General features: G+C 41.3%; 1 protein-coding gene and 1 long non-coding RNA gene across 3 annotated transcripts in view; both read left to right on the forward strand.

Annotated features, from left to right (window-relative positions):
• FAM149A (family with sequence similarity 149 member A) overlaps positions 1–22,697 on the forward strand; it is a 70,634-nt gene that overhangs the window by 1,294 nt on the left and 46,643 nt on the right. The window lies entirely within an intron of this gene.
• On the forward strand, positions 1,697–22,500 carry LOC124900171 (uncharacterized). The gene is made up of 2 exons (XR_007058421.1): positions 1,697–1,738; positions 16,951–22,500. It is a non-coding gene; the product is annotated as an uncharacterized LOC124900171 (long non-coding RNA).

The following is a 22,697-nucleotide window of genomic DNA, read 5'->3' on the forward strand; positions in this document are numbered from 1 at the left end:
GTGTGCAGGGAAACCGAATACACACGTCTGCAGCAAGTGTTTTAAGAAGTGGTGAGACCTGGTGCTTTCCTAATGTCTAAGGACCAGTCCCTAGTCTTATCCTAAGTGGGATGGGTCTCCTTTGTGTGACATCTAGTTAATTTACATATGCATGACATCATCTGACACAAATGGAGTTGTAATGGCCAGGACACGTCTGATTATTACCCTAGAGCTCCTGAGAGCTTTCCACAGTGCCCTGAGTCACTGCAGAAACGTTGACTTCATGGGAACATTTTCACTGGGAATCGGAGGCCGATTCCCTCAACACACACACACCCACACAACACCCCTTTCACTTCCAAGAGTCGTGATAAAAACATTGCTCTTTTAAAATGTGTTTTAGAACTAGGATGAATTTTAATTTTTAGAGTGGAGCATATCGTTAGCTATTCTTGAGTGGGTAAATTTTCATCCTGAATGCTGCAAAGAAATAGTGAAATGGTCAAAGACAGATGAGCCAATTCACAGACTGAGGTTTCTGCATTGTAATCTAGTGAGGCCATTCCCTACTCCCTCCAAAAAATCCTGAGTAATTTTTGCATTCATACTGATCCTGACTCACTCACAATTTAAATAATTACAGTTTCACAAAATTGAATGATATTCATGTCAATATGAAAACAAGCGGCCGGGCACGGTGGCTCACGCCTGTAATCCCAGCACTTTGGGAGGCCGAGGCGGGCGGATCATGAGGTCAGGAGATCGAGACCATCCTGGCTAACACGATGAAACCCCGTCTCTACTAAAAATACAAAAAATTAGCCGGGCGTGGTGGTACGTGCCTGTAGTCCCAGCTACTCGGAAGGCTGAGGCAAGAGGATGATGGCGTGAACCCGGGAGGCGGAGCTTGCAGTGAGCCAAGATCGCACCATTGCGCTCCAACCTGGGCGACAGAGAGAGAGACTCCGTCTCAAAAAAACAACAACAAAAAAGAAAATAAGCAGTTAAGCAAAAAGTTGTTCCCACTCATTAAAAAATACTATATTATGACATATGTTTATCAACTGATAGTTTTCCCTATCAGTTAATTGCTTTTGGAAAACTCACTGGAATACATATGCCTGAGGAATTAGATCTTTGTTATTGGCAACTGGTCCTTAACATTTATGCAATTAATGTTTTATGAGCAAACAGATCTACACACTGACCTTAAACTCTAGTCTTAGTGCTTTTAACAAATAGGCACTGAAATATGCAGCATGGCCAGTGAAACTGGTGTTAGTTTCAATTCTTGAACATATTAGCTCATGTTTATATTGTGCAAATATTTGGAATAGATACTTTTTGAATAACACTGCATTTGGCATTATTTACATAAGAGATTATTCTGAATTAACAAATGCATTCAATTTTATGGACAGTGAAGAAATTGAATTTTTAAATTATTATTACTTTTTGAGATGAGGTCTCCTTCTGTCACCCAGGTTGGAGTGCAGTGGTATGATCACTGTTCATTGCAGCCTCAACCTCCCAGGCTCAAGCGATCTGATTCTCCCGTCTCAGACTCTCGAGTAGCTGGGACTACAGGTGTGAGCTACTATGCCTGGCCAATTTTAAAAATGTTTCTGTGGAGACGGGGTCTCCCTATGTTGCCCAGGCTGGTCTTGAACTCCTGGCCTCAAGCAATCTTCCCACCTGGGCATTGCTGGGATTACAGGCATGAGCCACTGCATCTGGCCATGAAATTGAATTTTAGGTAAGTGCCATGAGAAGTAATATACACAGCTAGGTGCTTTGCAGAATCCTCCTGAGTTTGTGTGTTCCTACTGTCTGCAGCAGCAGGTAGAGGCACACACAGGCAGGAAGCAGACTGGCCCTCTGAGCATACCATTTTTCCTTTCAGATCCACGACTACTCACATTCCCTTCCTCTCATCATACCCCACTCCTTTTTCAATCACTAAAACATAAGAGACAAAGGGGAAGGAAGAAAGTATTAAGACGGCTTTTCTTTCAATACTGCAGACTTTGCACCTTGAAGGATTCTTTTTCCCTCCTGGATTTCTGTGGTAGTGATTTATAACACCGAATAAACAAACATAAGACAATGAATTTAAATTTGCTCCTACCATCTCATCTGTCACTTGGCAGATAGCTGCTGCTGTTAGCCTGTGTGGTTAATATTAAAATCAGGAATTTAAATTTCAAAAGCCTGGAAACTTGGAAAGGGAGAAATGGGTAATGTCAGAGAAAAAGTTTAAAGAGTGATGAGAATGTGAATACATATAAAGGAAACCGTAAACCTGTCTGCAAGAAATGCGGATCTAATTTTAAAGCTGTGGCCCTGAGTTCTAAAGGAAAACCCTATTAGCAGTTTGTACTTTTTTGACAATAACGCATACATTTTACATTTGCCTGATTCTGTACTTGGCTTTAAAAAAAAAAAACAAAAAACTAAAAGTAGTGAAATTAACTTGAGTAGGAAAATATGCAAACTCTCCTGCAATTTAGAGGCTTTTTTCCAAGCAAAGATGCTGAATAGCAGCAGGGGTTTTTAATCTCTGACCCAAGAATTCCGTAAGTGAAAGGCCCATGGAACAGAGGCTGCCCCTTTTGCTCCACAGGGCGTACTGACTGCACATCTGAGCCAGAGGCAGAGGATACTGATCTCTCTGTCTTCACCTCACTTTCCTGCATCCCTGGATACGTGATCCAACACCTTTGATCTTCACCTTGGCTTCCCTGTCCATTTCATGTATATATTATGCCTCAGTGTTTTTCAGTCTCACTCATCCCTCTTCATTACCTCTTTTCATACTTCTGGTTTGAACCACACAATACACCTTGTAAAGGTCTTATTCTCAATCTCTGGTTTTTTTTTTTTTTTGAGACGGAGTCTTGCTCTGTCGCCCAGGCTGGAGTGCAGTGGCGCGATCTCGGCTCACTGCAAGCTCCGCCTCCTGGGTTCACGCCATTCTCCTGCCTCAGCCTCCCGAGTAGCTGGGACTGCAGGTGCCTGCCACCACGCCCGGCTAATTTTTTGTATTTTTAGTAGAGAAGGGGTTTCACCATGTTAGCCAGGATGGTCTCGATCTCCTGACCTTGTAATTTGCCCGCCTCGGCCTCCCGAAGTGCTGGGATTACAGGCTTGAGCCACCGCGCCCGGCCGGTCTTATTCTCTTATTTGTTCTGCAAATGTAAGAATTCCTAGCAATACGTAAGGTGGATAGATAGATAATTGCTGTGTATGAATGTTGGTAGAGTGTAAACTTCTAGTCAGGAAGTATTTATAGCTTGTATAAGTCATAGTTATTAGCAAGCATATATTCACTCTTTTTTTTTTTGAGTGATTGAGTTCCATTGTTAAAATCACATTACTGTGGAAACATTGCAGTGGCTGCTTGAAGGGCCTGTCAGCATGGCTGGCAGTAAAGTGACTAGAGGGACTTATCTCGATTCCTCTGACACTGAGGCAGCCTCCAGTGTGATGAAGCCTGTAGACCCGGAAACCAGACGAGGTGGATTCCACCTCAAACCGATTGCTAGCTGAGTAATTCTGGGCAGGTCATTCATTTCTTCCCTAGCTGTAGTTTTTCTTTCTTGATAATATGGAGGTGATAATACTTTCTGCATAGAAGTGCTCCAGAAATTAATTGAAATAATAAGTAATATATGGAGAAATGCTAAAAAAGTGTTATCTATGATTACTACCTGCTTCTTGGCACAGAAATGAAAATTGAGAGCCATGTTTTATTGAAAGAAACATTCTAGGTGAAGAAAAAACAGAGAAAAATGATTCATTATATTTACCATGTGGCTGTAATAAATGGTGTCTTTTAGTTCAGTTATTTGGGAGAACAAATTATAGTACATGCCAATCTTTCATCATTACCTTCCCTGCATGACTTACAGAAGATAAGGGTTAGTTTAATTAACATTACCACTGAGTGCTGTGTAACACCCAGAAGGAAATGCATTTACCACTCTGGGATCAAACTTTTAATCTGCAGAATAATCAGTAGCATCACAAATCATACATTTGTGTAGCCCTTGTCTTTTCCTCCACTGAAACCCTGTGATTTATATTCACATCTTATGTCCATTATCAGACTATAAACTCTTTGTCCTGTGACACTTAAGGGAACACATGCCCATAAAAGACATTTAGCAAATATTTATTGAATGGATGAAGAAAATATTTTCTTCCTCATATAATCCACTGTCATGGGTTTCTAATCTTACAACAACCCAGGGGCAGTTTAAATGTCTTTCTTGAAGAATAATTATTGTCTTAGGTCTTTTTGTTTCATCGTCTTGAGTTTTTCCAAAGTTAGTAATGCTTGCTGCTGGGACTTAGCATTTCCTCAGGGATGAACGGTGGCTCAGTGTACAATTGTCATATAAGCGTTACTTTCTTTTTTTTTTTTTATTATACTTTAAGTTTTAGGGTACATGTGCACATTGTGCAGGTTAGTTACATATGTATACATGTGCCATGCTGGTGCGCTGCACCCACTAACTCGTCATCTAGCATTAGGTATATCTCCCAATGCTATCCCTCCCCCCTCCCCCAACCCCACCACAGTCCCCAGAGTGTGATATTCCCCTTCCTGTGTCCATGTGATCTCATTGTTCAATTCCCACCTATGAGTGAGAATATGCGGTGTTTGGTTTTTTGTTCTTGCGATAGTTTACTGAGAATGATGATTTCCAATTTCATCCATGTCCCTACAAAGGACATGAACTCATCATTTTTTATGGCTGCATAGTATTTCATGGTGTATATGTGCCACATTTTCTTAATCCAGTCTATCATTGTTGGACATTTGGGTTGGTTCCAAGTCTTTGCTATTGTGAATAATGCCGCAATAAACCTATGTGTGCATGTGTCTTTATAGCAGCATGATTTATAGTCCTTTGGGTATATACCCAGTAATGGGATGGCTGGGTCAAATGGTATTTCTAGTTCTAGATCCCTGAGGAATCGCCACACTGACTTCCACAATGGTTGAACTAGTTTACAGTCCCACCAACAGTGTAAAAGTGTTCCTATTTCTCCACATCCTCTCCAGCACCTGTTGTTTCCTGACTTTTTAATGATTGCCATTCTAACTGGTGTGAGATGGTATCTCATTGTGGTTTTGATTTGCATTTCTCTGATGGCCAGTGATGATGAGCATTTTTTCATGTGTTTTTTGGCTGCATAAATGTCTTCTTTTGAGAAGTGTCTGTTCATGTCCTTCACCCACTTTTTGATGGGGTTGTTTGTTTTTTTCTTGTAAATTTGTTGGAGTTCATTGTAGATTCCGGATGTTAGTCCTTTGTCAGATGAGTAGGTTGCGAAAATTTTCTCCCATTTTGTAGGTTGCCTGTTCACTCTGATGGTAGTTTCTTTTGCTGTGCAGAAGCTCTTTAGTTTAATTAGATCCCTTTTGTCAATTTTGTCTTTTGTTGCCATTGCTTTTGGTGTTTTGGACATGAAGTCCTTGCCCATGCCAATGTCCTGAATGGTAATACCTAGGTTTTCTTCTAGGGTTTTTATGGTTTTAGGTCTAACGTTTAAGTCTTTAATCCATCTTGAATTGATTTTTGTATAAGGTGTAAGGAAGGGATCCACTTTCAGCTTTCTACATATGGCTAGCCAGTTTTCCCAGCACCATTTATTAAATAGGGAATCCTTTCCCCATTGCTTGTTTTTCTCAGGTTTGTCAAAGATCAGATAGTTGTAGATATGCGGCATTATTTCTGAGGGCTCTGTTCTGTTCCATTGATCTAGATCTCTGTTTTGGTACCAGTACCATGCTGTTTTGGTTACTGTAGCCTTGTAGTATAGTTTGAAGTCAGGTAGTGTGATGCCTCCAGCTTTGTTCTTTTGGCTTAGGATTGCCTTGGCGATGTGGGCTCTTTTTTGCTTCCATATGAACTTTAAAGTAGTTTTTTCCAATTCTGTGAAGAAAGTCATTGGTAGCTTTATGGGGATGGCATTGAATCTGTAAATTACCTTGGGCAGTATGGCCATTTTCATGATATTGATTCTTCCTACCCATGAGCATGGAATGTTCTTCCATTTGTTTGTATCCTCTTTTATTTCCTTGAGCAGTGGTTTGTAGTTCTCCTTGAAGAGGTCCTTCACATCCCTTGTAAGTTGGATTCCTAGGTATTTTATTCTCTTTGAAGCAATTGTGAATGGGAGTTCACTCATGATTTGGCTCTCTGTTTGTCTGTTATTGGTGTATAAGAATGCTTGTGATTTTTGTACGTTGATTTTGTATCCTGAGACTTCGCTGAAGTTGCTTATCAGCTTAAGGAGATTTTGGGCTGAGACAGTGGGGTTTTCTAGATATACAATCATGTCGTCTGCAAACAGGGACAATTTGACTTCCTCTTTTCCTAATTGAATACCCTTTATTTCCTTCTCCTGCCTAATTGCCCTGGCCAGAACTTCCAACACTATGTTGACTAGGAGTGGTGAGAGAGGGCATCCCTGTCTTCTGCCAGTTTTCAAAGGGAATGCTTCCAGTTTTTGCCCATTCAGTATGATATTGGCTGTGGGTTTGTCATAGATAGCTCTTATTATTTTGAAATACGTCCCATGAATACCTAATTTATTGAAAGTTTTTAGCATGAAGGGTTGTTGAATTTTGTCAAAGGCTTTTTCTGCATCTGTTGAGATAATCATGTGGTTTTTGTCTTTGGTTCTGTTTATATGCTGGATTACATTTATTGATTTGCATATATTGAACCAGCCTTGCATCCCAGAGATGAAGCCCACTTGATCATGGTGGATAAGCTTTTTGATGTGCTGCTGGATTCGTTTTGCCAGTATTTTATTGAGGATTTTTGCATCAATGTTCATCAAGGATATTGGTCTAAAATTCTCTTTTTTGGTTGTGTCTCTGCCCGGCTTTGGTATCAGAATGATGCTGGCCTCATAAAATGAGTTAGGGAGGATTCCCTCTTTTTCTATTGATTGGAATAGTTTCAGAAGGCATGGTACCAGTTCCTCCTTGTACCTCTGATAGAATTCGGCTGTGAATCCATCTGGTCCTGGACTCTTTTTGGTTGGTAAACTATTGATTATTGCCACAATTTCAGCTCCTTTTATTGGTCTATTCAGAGATTCAACTTCTTCCTGGTTTAGTCTTGGGAGAGTGTATGTGTCGAGGAATTTATCCATTTCTTCTAGATTTTCTAGTTTATTTGCGTAGAGGTGTTTGTACTATTCTCTGATGGTAGTTTGTATTTCTGTGGGATCAGTGGTGATATCCCCTTTATCATTTTTTATTGTGTCTATTTGATTCTTCTCTCTTTTTTTATTAGTCTTGCTAGGGGTCTATCAATTTTGTTGATCCTTTCAAAAAACCAGCTCCTGGATTCATTAATTTTTTGAAGGGTTTTTTGTGTCTCTATTTCCTTCACTTCTGCTCTGATTTTAGTTATTTCTTGCCTTCTGCTAGCTTTTGAATGTGTTTGCTCTTGCTTTTCTAGTTCTTTTAATTGTGATGTTAGGGTGTCAATTTTGGATCTTTCCTGCTTTCTCTTCTGGGCATTTAGTGCTATAAATTTCCCTCTGCACACTGCTTCGAATGCGTCCCAGAGTTTCTAGTATGTTGTGTCTTTGTTCTCGTTGGTTTCAAAGAACATCTTTATTTCTGCCTTCATTTCGTTATGTATCCAGTAGTCATTCAGGAGCAGGTTGTTCAGTTTCCATGTAGTTGAGCGGTTTTGAGTGAGATTCTTAATCCTGAGTTCTAGTTTGATTGCACTGTGATCTGAGAGATAGTTTGTTATAATCTCTGTTCTTTTACATTTGCTGAGGAGAGCTTTACTTCCAAGTATGTGGTCAATTTTGGAATAGGTGTGGTGTGGTGCTGAAAAAAATGTATATTCTGTTGATTTGGGGTGGAGAGTTCTGTATATGTCTAATAGGTCCACTTGGTGCAGAGCTGAGTTCAATTCCTGGGTATCCTTGTTGACTTTCTGTCTCGTTGATCTGTCTAATGTTGACAGTGGGGTGTTAAAGTCTCCCATTATTATTGTGTGGGAGTCTAAGTCTCTTTGTAGGTCACTCAGGACTTGCTTTATGAATCTGGGTGCTCCTGTATTGGGTGCATATATATTTAGGATAGTTAGCTCTTCTTGTTGAATTGATCCCTTTACCATTATGTAATGGCCTTCTTTGTCTCTTTTGATCTTTGTTGGTTTAAAGTCTGTTTTATCAGAGACTAGGATTGCAACCCCTGCCTTTTTTTGTTTTCCATTGGCTTGGTAGATCTTCCTCCATCCTTTTATTTTGAGCCTATGTGTGTCTCTGCACGTGAGATGGGTTTCCTGAATACAGCACACTGATGGGTCTTGACTCTTTATCCAATTTGCCAGTCTGTGTCTTTTAATTGGAGCATTTAGTCCATTTACATTTAAAGTTAATATTGTTATGTGTGAATTTGATCCTGTCATTATGATGTTAGCTGGTGATTTTGCTCGTTAGTTGATGCAGTTTCTTCCTAGTCTCGATGGTCTTTACATTTTGGCATGACTTTGCAGCGGCTGGTACCGGTTGTTCCTTTCCCTGTTTAGCGCTTCCTTCAGGAGCTCTTTTAGGGCAGGCCTGGTGGTGACAAAATCTCTCAGCATTTGCTTGTCTGTAAAGTATTTTATTTCTCCTTCACTTATGAAGCTTAGTTTGGCTGGATATGAAATTCTGGGTTGAAAATTCTTTTCTTTAAGAATGTTGAATATTGGCCCCCACTCTCTTCTGGCTTGTAGGGTTTCTGCCGAGAGATCCGCTGTTAGTCTGATAGGCTTCCCTTTGAGGTTGACCCGACCTTTCTCTCTGGCTGCCCTTAACATTTTTTCCTTCATTTCAACTTTGGTGAATCTGACAATTATGTGTCTTGGAGTTGCTCTTCTCGAGGAGTATCTTTTTGGTGTTCTCTGTATTTCCTGAATCTGAACGTTGGCCTGCCTTGCTAGATTGGGGAAGTTCTCCTGGATAATATCCTGCAGAGTGTTTTCCAACTTGGTTCCATTCTCCCCATCACTTTCAGGTACACCAATCAGACGTAGATTTGGTCTTTTCACATAGTCCCATATTTCTTGGAGGCTTTGCTCATTTCTTTTTATTCTTTTTTCTCTAAACTTCCCTTCTCGCTTCATTTCATTCATTTCATCTTCCATTGCTGATACCCTTTCTTCCAGTTGATCGCATCGGCTCCTGAGGCGTCTGCATTCTTCACGTAGTTCTCGAGCCTTGGTTTTCAGCTCCATCAGCTCCTTTAAGCACTTCTCTGTATTGGTTATTCTAGTTATGCATTCTTCTAAATTTTTTTCAAAGTTTTCAACTTCTTTGCCTTTGGTTTGAATGTCCTCCCGTAGCTCAGAATAATTTGATCTTCTGAAGCCGCCTTCTCTCAGCTCGTCAAAGTCATTCTCCATCCAGCTTTGTTCCATTGCTGGTGAGGAACTGCGTTCCTTTGGAGGAGGAGAGGCGCTCTGCGTTTTAGAGTTTCCAGTTTTTCTGTTCTGTTTTTTCCCCATCTTTGTGGTTTTATCTACTTTTGGTCTTTGATGATGGTGATGTACAGATGGGTTTTTGGTGTGGATGTCCTTTCTGTTTGTTAGTTTCCCTTCTAACAGACAGGACCCTCAGCTGCAGGTCTGTTGGAATACCCTGCCGTGTGAGGTGTCAGTGTGCCCCTGCTGGGGGGTGCCTCCCAGTTAGGCTGCTCGGGGGTCGGGGTCAGGGACCCACTTGAGGAGGTAGTCTGCCCGTTCTCAGATCTCCAGCTGCGTGCTGGGAGAACCACTGCTCTCTTCAAAGCTGTCAGACAGGGACATTTAAGTCTGCAGAGGTTACTGCTGTCTTTTTGTTTGTCTGTGCCCTGCCCCCAGAGGTGGAGCCTACAGAGGCAGGCAGGCCTCCTTGAGCTGTGGTGGGCTCCACCCAGTTCGAGCTTCCCGGCTGCTTTGTTTACCTAAGTAAGCCTGGGCAATGGCGGGCGCCCCTCCCCCAGCCTCGCTGCCACCTTGCAGTTTGATCTCAGACTGCTGTGCTAGCAATCAGCGAGACTCCGTGGGCGTGGGATCCTGTGAGCCATGTGCGGGATATAATCTCCTGGCGCGCCGTTTTTTAAGCCGGTCCGAAAAGCGCAATATTTGGGTGGGAGTGACCTGATTTTTCAGGTGCGTCCGTCACCCCTTTCTTTGACTCCGCAAGGGAACTCCCTGACCCCTTGCGCTTCCCAAGTGAGGCAATGCCTCGCCCTGCTTCGGCTCGCGCACGGTGCGCGCACCCACTGACCTGCGCCCACTGTCTGGCACTCCCTAGTGAGATGCACCCGGTACCTCAGATGGAAATGCAGAAATCACCCGTCTTCTGTGTCACTCACGCTGGGAGCTGTAGACCGGAGCTGTTCCTATTTGGCCATCTTGGCTCCTCCCTCATGACCGTTACTTTCTATTACAGTCATATGACCATTACTGTCATTAAAGATAATAATGAATTCAACTTGGTTTTCCATATCGAGTATTTGCTTATACCCGAGAAAACAATTTTGTTCTGTCTTATGCGTAGGCTTTTGCTTTAAATTATCCTCTTTCTTTGTTGTTATATTTAAATTTTTTTTTTTTAATTTGAGACAGAGTCTCACTCTGTCACCAGGCTGGCTGGAGGGCAGCGGCACGATCTCGGCTCACTGCAACCTCTGCGTCCTGGGTTAAAGTGATTCTCCTGCCTCAGACTTCTGAGTAGCTGGGATATATTTAAATCTTGAAAATTGTATTTGAGTTAGCAGTTATATGTTTTTTTGCTGTGTGTTTAAAGAACACATGTTGAGTGTTTTCTAAGTTCTTATCCAACAAGCATGGCCCTTGTGCCAAGCTCATAATGATAGTCCTATGGGATTTGAACCCTTCAGCATTGCGTAATCATAACAGCTCATGTAAATTAGTATAGTTTTTAGAGCACAGATTGAAGTCAGATCGAATTTGATTCAAATCTCATTTTGTAACTTTTCTTAGAATGCTAATTAAGCATTCACATTGGCTACCTAACCTCTTTAAGCTTTACCTTCTCATTCATAAAATGGGAATTAATAATAATGCCTATTCAAAGAGACATTGTAAGGATTAAGAGATCATCTATACAAACTTGTCCCTGTGGTGGCTGGTACATAAGCACTTAATAAATATCTATTACATGATATTCACTATTCTAAAGATATTCTTACTACCCACAGCATCTTTTGTACAAAATACAGTTTATTGCTATGATCTGCAGTGTAGGCTAATGTATTCTTTAATTAATTGTCAACCTGTATTTAATGAATATCTATTCCATCTAAGATCCACATGGAGCTAGATTTTTGAGTAATTAGGGAAAGAACTGGAAATGGATCTTATGAAAAAGCAGGAAAAATAAGATAAATGATCCAAGAGTGGTTTCAGACACACTGCTGTGAGCACACAGCTAAGAGAGAAGAGGAGGCGCGGAGATGATGCTGAACGAGGGGCGATGTCAGGGGTCTGAGTTCTAAAGAATGTCCAAAAGTGGGGCACATGGACACCTGGGGCTTGGGAGGGCACTGTCGGAGACCAAAGCAGTGTGAGCAAAGCCGTGGAGGCCCAGAGCCACATGGCGTGAGGCTTTCCATTTGTTAGGAGCACAGCTGTTGTGAAAAGCGTTAAAACTAGGGAGAGCCTGGATACTGGGCTCTCTTTAGTAAACACTGGAAAAGCCAGGATTTAGGTAGAGAAGTGGCAGGAGCAGGCTGCACTTTAGGAGGGTTGAGCTAATGTGCAGGGAGCTAGTAGGAAGCTCTAGGAATAAACGCCTGAGAGGTATGGAGCCTAGGAATGAACACAGTGAAAAGAAAGATATTGAACTGACAAATCTCCCAAGACCGGCAACACATAGGTGAGGCTGAGGAAGCAAGAGGAAGGGCTGAAGATGATGTCAGGTGGCTGGGAGGAGAGTGCCACTCATAAAGGGGGACCACAGAAGATGCGGGTTTGTCATGCAGATGAGGAGTTCACTCTGGGATACACACCTTGAGTTGAGGTCTAGGGAAACATCTAGAGAAGGGCCAGGCACGGGGCTGGACATTCATGGTGGAATATGGCAGGAAGTTAAGGACTGGAAGTATAAACAGGCAACTTTGCACGTACAGGAGTTGGTGAACACACACAGTGATCACAAACTATACAACAGATGACATCACACACCACGCAAGATGGGAGTGCTCTTTACTGTTGCTGTGGGAGTTTCAAGACCCTCTGAAATGAGGAGCGTCTCCTTTCTCTGCTGGAACAGTGCTTCTCAATGTGTGTGCCATTAGCTACCTGCTTGCAGTTACCAGGTAGCTACTTGTTCCCTGTCCATGAAGCGGTAAGTGCAGAAAGGGAGAATAAGCATTTAGAAATTTTATAGCAGTTGGCAGAGGAGCTTTATGTCTGTTGACTCTAATAATTAAACATTTGGATTCACATTTTGAGGATTTTTATCATTTTATTTTTTGATTTTTATTATGTTTTAAAAGTATTTACATACAATAAATTGGAAAAATGATCTGACACTACAGATAGTTTGAAGAACACTGAGGTAGACTTTATTAAGATACCTTTAGACCACACTCAGCAAAACATTTCAGGACACCAAGAAAAAACAAAACAGCCAATGATGACATTATCTTTTACTGTCCTTAAAATACCGGGCTAAGCAATATTCAGATAGTATCCTCTGATTGAAGATGAGATTCTTTAAATTGTTCAGACGATCTGGAGTTGAGGGTGTGCCCGGTTCACGGTGTCTTTGAGCGCTGCGGTCATCGGATGCAGCCTCCAGCCAAGCACCCACTGCCTGGGAGGAGGGAGCTTCCCATTCTTATTCCTGCTTTAATCCAAGCTTGTAAGTTTCAGTTTTGTTTTGTTTTCTTTTGACATAAAAACAATGAGGAGTAGAGTCTATTGCTTTCTCTCAAAATAAACCTTTGGATCATTCAATGTGAGGAGGGCCAAAGGTAAGTGAAAATGCTAGGGAAAAAAATATCAGTTAACATTTACAAATACCATTCCACATATCCTTCACGTACAGGGGACACTCTTCCCTCATGGGTGCAGTCTGGATATTTGTTTCATTTCACGCAGTCAAACCACGCACCTTTTTGGATATGCAGAATTTTACAATTCATAGGCAAAAATTTCAAAAATTACCTCACATTTAATGGTCTCACGAATAGTGTTACACAGACACACATTTAACAGGACATGATTTTCTAGACACCATGTACTACGTAGTACTCGTCAAGCAAATGGATAAATACTATTTATTATGTATTGAAAAAAGAGTTGCCCCTTTTTGAGAGGTAGAAATAATGAAGATGCCATCTTCTGAAAAGCACAGAAACAAAATAAAGGCTTTGTCATGATTAATGATTATGGAACTTTGCAATGATTAAATATCATTCAGAAGCAGATGGTCTTTGGCAGTGACTAGAAAAACAGCCAAGCTAAGACTTTCCCTTCTGTTGTTTAATAAAGAGGTTATTAAGGCAAAGTTGAACTAAATAAAATGTTCTTCTCAAATGCATGTATACCTATATAATCTTAGAATCATTGCCTTCTTTATAACCATAACTTGAAATTATTTTTAAATATTGTGGAACTTCTATATAATGTCAGTCATGAGGATGAGGACACAACTCACCTTGGAAGCTCCTGTTCATATCAGGCTTTTAAAGTTAATAATTCTATTTCAGAGAATGTCGCTCTTTGTATAGAAAGGTAAAGTGGGGATGTATTGTAAAATGCAACATTTAATTCAATTCCCTAGTATCAAACAGTGTGAAGACTTGGAAACCATCCCTGTAGAGATGCAGGACTCTTCATAATCCAGTTGAACTAAGAGCCTACATCAAATAAAATGAACCCCTTCCCTCAAATAGAAGTTTTCTTGCTAAATTAATGCAAAAAATTGAATCCTAAGGAACTACAGTTTGAATATATGAAGCGCAGTTTAAAGAAGCAGGTGATAAATTCCCAAGGGAAGGTCTACCTCAGACCTCTGTTTTACTTGTTTTAACATTTTTATAAGCATGTTTCACAGATGAATGTGATCATTGATCAACTACTTACTATTCCATAAAGCCAGGGTTCTTAGCATTTGAAGTAACGGCTGGTATTTCAGGGTCTACTAGACACCAAATACAGCATGCATGTTTTATGGACATTATCACAAATCCCCAAAGCATACATACAAGGCAGGAATTTTATTTTCATTTTACACATGAAGAAATTGAGGCTCAGAATAAGAAATTGTCTAATTCCACCTAGCTGCTATGTGATAAATGTAAGATTGAATTCCTGGAAATCAATCTATATCTTCCACACATAGGTATAACCAGGTATTTTTAATGAATTAAGATAGTAATGAGGATTAAAATCTACTTCCAAAGTAATTCATGGTATTTCCACCAGAACAAAATAACTCCAAAGAATTATACTCTTTCCAATAAAAATTTAAAAATCACGTTAGTAAGACCGGGCGCGGTGGCTCACACCTGTAATCCCAGCACTTTGGGAGGCCGAGGCAGGTGGATCACGAGATTAGGAGTTTGAGACCAGCCTGGCCAATATGGTGAAACCCTGTCTCTACTAAAAAAACACAAAAATTAGCCAGGCATGGTGGTGCGTGCCTGTAGTCCCAGCTACTCAGGAGGCTGAGGCAGGAGAATCGCTGGAACCAGGGAGGTGGAGCTTGCAGTGAGCCAAGATTGCGCCACTGCACTCCAGCCTGGGCGACAGAGCAAGACTCCATCTCAAAAAAAAAAAAAAAAAGTTAGTAATCTAAAAGTATCTTTCTCAAAATAATATTCTTTTTTTTTTTTTTTTTTCTTTTGAGACGGAGTCTCCCTCTGTTGTCCAGGCTGGAGTGCAGTGGCGCTATCTCGGCTCGCTGCAAGCTCCGCCTCCCGGATTCACGCCATTCTCCTGCCCCAGCCTCCCTAATATTCCTATTAGTACTGATAAAGAGACCATAATAATCCATTTCAAAGTACAAATAAATGTCTTTTGTAATAAAGGCATGACTTATTAAAAATAAAGCATTCATTTTTTCAACTCTTTTCCAGTTTTTTATAATTATGTTTCTTGTAAATTATTTTATGTATGATGATACCAAATATATTTTATTCATACTAGAACGGCAGTAATGAGCAAGCATTGTCTTACTAGAAAAAATGGAGAAGCAATTAGAGATGGCATTGCCAGGGAAAGGCTGTTCCTGCACGTCAGCATTTTCTTAATTAGATGTTTCACTTAAGGGTTTGGAAGAAGCCTTATAATTAAATATTGACAACTGTAATCCTTGCCAGGCACTAATGTTCATGTTTATCTAGTGAGTATATTTGTTTAACATTTAACATTTTGGATCTTTTTTGACTGATTTCTAACATAAATGATACAATCTTGAGGATCTATAAAATATAGTTAAAATATATTTTTAAAATGTATTTTTAAAGATGTATTAAAGTGACAATTTAAAACTTAGTCATTAACTTCAATTCTTTACAGTGAAATTTCTTTAGTAGAGCATGTCAGAATTACATTGAGAAGATCATGGGATCCTATGGAAGATGTACGGAGACATTGATGGCAATTGATATTCTGACGCACACAAACTTACTATGACGGCCCTGACAGCCGCTGCACACGTTGACCCCACCTAACGTGGGACTGAAAACGATGAGTGTGGTGCTGCCATCCTACACCCAGCAGTTGTCTGTCTTCATTCTCTCTTCTGACCCTGTTGAAGTTCTGCTTCTGCTCTTTTGTCTCTGTCTTGCTTTTGTGGTGGAGTTTAACCTTGGACTTGATGAATACATTTGGCTCTTGATATAATCCTCATAGCTCCTGAGAATCTGACTCAAGCGCCCCTGTGATTTATCTGCCTGAATTCTCTGTTAACTGTGCCGACCAACCCAGATCCAGCCCCATGAACTTACCAAGACAGTGACTTCCTGGCTGGCACCATGCTAGGCCTGCCAGGGAGATCAGAATAGCCAATACCTGTCTTCCTTTCACTAGTTTCTCACTTGTCTCAATTATGTCTTTATATTAAGTGAGAAAATTGCTGACAACATATAGATAAAGATGTTATGAAGAAGTCTGAAAGAAGCTATTCGTAAAGAAACCATGAGATGAATGTAGACAGTAGGCTGTTCTAAAAGATAACTGGCCTGCTGTCTTTAAAACTGTCAGTGTCAGGTCTGGGGAAAGGCGGAAGAACCATTTTCTTTCTATATGAAAATAGACTAAAGACATGTAAGAACAATTTAAAGTATGGAATTTGATTGGATGCTAGTTTAAAAATATAGCTATAGAAGACACTTGGGGAAATTAGATTTGAATATTAAAGAGAATATTGGAGTGAGTACTAGTTTTAAGAAACTGTCATTGATTTCCTTAGATATGATAACAGTTTGAGGATTATGTAGGAGAACATCCTTTTAGGAAATGTATGGTAAGGTAGGGATCAGTAGAGTGTCATGATATTTGCAACTTCCTTTCAAATGGTCCGGAATAAAATATGTTTCTGGATTTAATATGGTAAAATATTAACCATGGTTGAATCCAGGTGATAGGTATTTTATTTTTTGGTATAAATCTTTCAACTCTTCCATGTTTTTAAAAAAATGTTATAGTAAGAAGTTGGAAAAACTATTGTATATAAGAATCATTATTATTCTGACCTCAACAGAAATGTTAAATATTTACTTTTCATGGGAATTGTTCATAAATAATGTAAATATTTAGAGGATGAATATCTAAATGATGAAACAAAAGATCGTAAGTAAATTCTTGCCTCCTTTTTTGGAGACTAAGTGGTTCCTTAACATTTGTGAACCCTAATGTTCCAAATTTCATATTTCCACCTTTCTTGAAAGCATCTGGTAATGGTGACTTTCTTTTATAGAATTTCAAGCCTTCAGAGAAGAATCTAAAGTTCTGAAGAAGGAAAAATGGAAATTATGATAGAGCCTAGAAGGAAAGAAATGAATATGTTTAATTTTGTTACAAGGGAATAAGAAATGGTGGGGAAGAGAAGACGGAGGAGATACTTTCATTCATAGGCCATGCCTCTGCATTCAAACACTGGTCATTCTGATGTGGAGTCCAGTGTTAATCCAAGGAACCAGGACAATTTGAAAAGGAAATGTCACATTACTGAGTTTTCAAAGGATGTCCAAATCTTATTTTTGCAAAATATGGCTGTTTGTATAGTTTATTTTTGGCAAAGTATGGTTGTTAGTTTATGTAGTTTATACAGTTAAAAGATTTCTCTAGTCATTGCAAGTTTTCTTGTCTGTACCTTTATGAGATGGGTGAATTTTCGTCTCATGGACATGTGCTGATGTTGGGAGACAGTTCTCCCTGGGCCTTTTGTTCCTGTATGTTCTTGCTGGATATGCAGAAATGCAAGGCCCTTCATGGCTCTTTATTAATAAGGGCCATTTTCCAGGGTTGCATTTTCAATGAGCAGCCTGAAGAGATGAGGGAGAAAGAGCACGTGAGCCACTGGCTGCTATGGAGCAGCTGGTTTGCAAGCTCGGTGTTTTTTGTGACACGACCCACTGCAGGATCAAGGACCAAACACTTTCCCTCTGGGAAGTGGGGTCCAGGAAACAGACATGAATTCTGATACTGTGGCTGCTGCTTTTGCAGCAAGTAAGAAAGTCTTTCATCTCTGGTCTAGGATTCTTATGTTTCCTCTAAGCATCCACAAAATTGTGACAAACTAATGTGCTGGCTTTTCAGCAGAGTAAAATGAAATCCCAGACCCTTCACGGTCCTTGATAGCCAGCATAGAATAGTTAAGCAGCAAATATTTATGTGACAATCACTTTCTTAAAAAAAATAAAACACTTTTTGTACAAAGCAGTGACAGTAGCTGAAATTGCTAAACAAAATTCTATTCTAAAAATTTGCCATCTTAACTAGATAGCTAAAATTTTCTAATGTGTGAAAGAAGGGGCTACACACTCACACAGACAATGAGAAACTTGGTAGTGGGTGGCCACTTTGTTTCTAGGTCATCCACTAGAGGTACATCCCCAAAGAGGTGTATCCTTGGTCAGAAAAGGATGGACTTACGATAAGATACCAAGATACATCTACAGAATAATCCTGTGAGTAGGAAATGCAAAGGCACTATATTCCTCCAGAGTGGAGGCAGAGGGTGGGTTGGCTTTCGGTTTCTTGCCATTTTTGTTTTTTGGGTTAATTTTTCTTTCTTTTTTTTTTATTATACTTTAAGTTTTAGGGTACATGTGTACAACGTGCAGCTTTGTTACATATGTATACATGTGCCATGTTGCTGTGCTGCACCCATTAACTCGTCATTTACATTAGGTATATCTCCTAATGCTATCCCTCCCCGCTCCCCCCCACCCCACAACAGGCCCCGGTGTGTGATGTTCCCCTTCCTGTGTCCATGTGTTCTCATTGTTCAGTTCCCACCTATGAGTGAGAACATGTGGTGTTTGGGTTTCTGTCCTTGTGACAGTTTGCTCAGAATGATGGTTTTCAGCGTCATCCATGTCCCTACAAAGGACATGACCTCATCCTTTTTTATGGCTGCATAGTATTCCATGGTGTATATGTGCCACATTGTCTTAATCCAGTCTATCATTGTTGCACATTTGGGTTGGTTCCAAGTCTTTGCTATTGTGAATAGTGCCACAATAAACATACGTGTGCACGTGTCTTTATAGCAGCATGATTTATAATCCTTTGGGTATATACCCAGTAATGGGATGGCTGGGTCAAATGGTATTTCTAGTTCTAGATCCTTGAGGAATTGCCACACTGTCTTCCACAATGGTTGAACTAGTTTACAGTCCCACCAACAGTGTAAAAGTGTTCCTATTTCTCCACATCCTCTCCAGCACCTGTTGTTTCCTGACTTTTTAATGATCGCCATTCTAACTGGTGTGAGACGGTATCTCGTTGTGGTTTTGATTTGCATTTTTCTGATGGCCAGTGATGATGAGCATTTTTTCATGTGTCTTTTGGCTGCATAAATGTCTTCTTTTGAGAAGTGTCTGTTCATATCCTTTGCCCACTTGTTGATGGGCTTGTCATTTTTATGGAACACAGTGTGGTCATGTGTCCACAGCCATACAAGTCAATGACTGGACTATTGGAAATCCTTGCTGTTGGCATCTCACAAACCTTTTCCTTTCTCTCAGTACTTTTTCTCTAAGTAATGATGCAGTTCAGGCCCTCAGCTTGTTGTTTTGTGATATGTGCCAGCCACCTGCTTCTCGAACCATATCTTTCTCGTTGGATGAACACAGAGCCAGGATGCCTGCTACACCCACATCCCCTGCGGAGGTCTCTTGATGATAGCCACTGCTGAGGGAAGCAGCCCTAGGCAGCCCCACAAACACAGTAATGACGCTGCCTCTCGGGAGCTGATCAGAGCACGCTGGGAAGCCTGAGGAAGATAGTCCGTCCGTCAGCCAGCCAGCAATCAGTGACATGGTACAGGGGTAGCTCTATCCAAGCAGGGATGTCAATGCAGTGAAATAGGTTTCTCACGAGAATTTGCACACGAGGTAAAGGGAGAGTCAACAGCACAGGCTTGTTGTCAGGTTTAAGTGAGATCATTCCCATAAGGCACTCAGCAGAGCGCTTGGCTGAAATATGGGGCTTAATAAATGTTGGGGAATTAACACTACTATTATTGTGAATAGCTGAAGCTGAAGGATACTGAGAGAAGGCAAAGAACAGAGAGGCCGTGGGCAAGCTGGGGCCATGAATACCCAACCGTTTGGAAGGGAGGCCAAAAAGAAATACGAGGTAGGGATGAGATGTTGAAGAAGCAACGTAGAGGAGTGGAATCACACGAACGAGTGTGGCACCCTCTCTGTGTCCTGCAGACTCGCACTGGCAAGAGCGCGAGGTAACAGCCTGTTCTCCAGCTGCCCGGAGGCTGGATGACCTTCACAGGCCCCAAATTCTAACCTCTAGAGCCTGCCATCTCCTTCCTCCCTTATATTCCTGTTTGGGTGGTGTTTCCCAGACTCCTGTGGGATCTGGACGCTTGTTTCCAATATTTGAAAATTATTTCCACAAAATGAAATCCTTTCATTAGTATCATATCACTTGCCCTGTCCATACTACTCATTACTAGGGGTACCTCGAGTAAGCCTCGCGCCTTGTTACCAAAAAGGATACCTTGACATACTTGCCCTTTCCAACTCACATCTTCCCGAGATGCCCCTTTCTTGCTGGCTAGATAGAATTTATTCACTCTCTCAGCTTCTCTACCATATGGTGGTGTGACGGTCAATTTTATGTGTCAACTTGACTGAGCTAAGGGACACCCAGATAGCTGATAAAACGTTGTTTTTGGATGAGTCTGTGAGTGTGTCTCCAGAAGAGATTAACATTTTCATCAGTAGACGCAGTGGAATCTACCCTCACCAATGAGAGTGGGCATCATCTAATCCCTTAAGGGGCCAAATAGAACAAAAAGGCAGAGGAAGGGCGAATTCTCTTCTTCTTGATCTCGGACATCCAACTCTTCTGCCCTCAGACATTGAAGGGTCTGGTGTTTGGGTCTTTAGACTCCAGGACTCCACCCTCGAATTCTCAAGTCTTTGACCTTGGACTGGGGGAAGTCACGCCATCGTCACCCCATTGACCCCCCTGGTTCTCAGATCTTCACACTCGGGCTGGATCACACCACTGGCTTTCCTGGTTCTTCAGCTCGCAGATGGCAGATGATGCGACTTCTTAGCCTCTGTGATTGCGTGAGCCTGTTCCCCTAATAAATCTCCTGGTGTATGTCTCTGTATCTTATTGGTTCTGTTTCTCTGGAGAACCCCAATACAGGGGGAGGAAGAGACACTTGCTCTTTATAAATGGGCGGTGTATCACAATTCTGTGGTGATTTTGAGCTAATTTTCTGCTTTGGAACCACTGAAGAGGCTTATTGAAGACTGGAATGGAATGGAATTTTGTAATGGTAGAGCTGTCGCGTATGCCAATTACAAGTGTTGCGGGCAGGACAGTTACTTCACAGGCAGAAGTAGTGTCTGTGTGATTCTCTGAGAAGCCCTGCCTTCCTGCCAGGCAGAAGGTGCTGGAGCTGACTGCACGGGCCAACAGGAGCAACTGTACACCTCTCGCCAACTCCACCCTGAGTAGCATCACACTGGGAGTTTGAAATCAGCCAAGGAGGAACTATTTTCACCCTGCATGCCCACAAATCTCAACTCAGAGCTTCGGTTTCTTCCGGAGAGTTAGTCTACCAGCACACTGCTGCTAGGAAGTATAAGAAGTAGGTTTACTTCACAGTAAACATCCTTCCAGTCTACCTGGATTCCACAGGTAGATTGAAACAAGGGGATGCTTTTGACAAAAGGCTTTGTGATGACTGCTTCTGTCACAGGAATGCTCAGAAGAGATGTCAAGAGGCTGGCCTCTCCAAAGTCTCACAGCTGGAGTGTGGGTACCAGGTTCTGTCTAGTGGCTTTCAACGTTTGTTTTCTGTCTTACAGCATCCATCAGAGGATGACATGTCCATGCGAGAAGCAGTTTCATGAGTGTTTGTTAATGTGATCACTGCAGTTATATTCCTTACTCTTCAGACAAGCAAGAATAAGGGAATGTGTGTGAAAGAGGTAGTCTGAAATATTCTGGTGGTTTTTGTTTTGTTTTGGAGATAGAGTTATGCTCTTGTCACCCAGGCTGGAGTGCAGTGGCACGATCTCTGCTCCCTGCAACCTCTGCCTTCCAAGTTCAAGCAATTCTCCTGCCTCAGCCTCTCAAGTAGCTGGAACTACAGGCCTGAGCCACCATTCCCAGCTAATTTTTTTGTATTTTTAGTAGAGACAGGGTTTCACCATGTTGGCCAGGCTGGTCTCAAAGTCCTGACTTCAGTTGATCCTCCCCACTCACCTTCCCAAAGTGTTGGGATTACAGGCATGAGCCACCATGCCCGGCCTTTTTTTTTTTTTTTTTTTTGATACGGAGTTTCACTTTTGTTGCCCAGGCTGGAGTGCAATGGTACGATTTCAGCTCACTGCAACCTCCGCCTCCTGAGTTCAAGCAATTCTCCTGCCTCAGCCTCCCGAGTAGTTGTGGTGACAGGTGCATGCCACCATGCCCCACTAATTTTTGTATTTTTAGTAGAGATGGCTTCACCATGTTAGCCAGGCTGGTCTCGAAATCCCAGCCTCAGGTGATCCACCCACCTCTGCCTCCCAAAATTCTGAGATTACCGGCATGAGTCACTGCGCCTGGCCAATATTCTGTTTTTTAATGCAAGTCATTGATAAAATTAGTCCTACATTTTTGTGGTCACAGCTTACGACTGATACTGAGGTTAAGGACCATGAGTTTAGATGATACAAGAGTGAAGGGAAATTGTGCTCTGCAGGGACTCATGTTGCAATTTTCTGTCTTTGGGAGCCACTCAGCTAAATATTATAAAAAAAAAAACCAAAAAGAGCAACGGAACCTTCCCTGGAACACCTTAGCTCACGATGCTTTCTTTCTTCCTTATAAGGACATGTCTTATATGTATTTTTGTTTATTATGGGGAAGGGCTGAGCTCTGCTTAATGGAAATATGTCTAGTATATTTCAGAGCTCATGGTTTTTTGAAATTCAAGGTCCATATTAAATTCAGTTTATTTAGAATTAGAGTGTT

The sequence above is a fragment of the Homo sapiens genome, chromosome 4, assembly GCF_000001405.40.
Source record: "Homo sapiens chromosome 4, GRCh38.p14 Primary Assembly".
In the NCBI taxonomy this organism is placed as follows: Eukaryota; Metazoa; Chordata; class Mammalia; order Primates; family Hominidae; genus Homo; species Homo sapiens.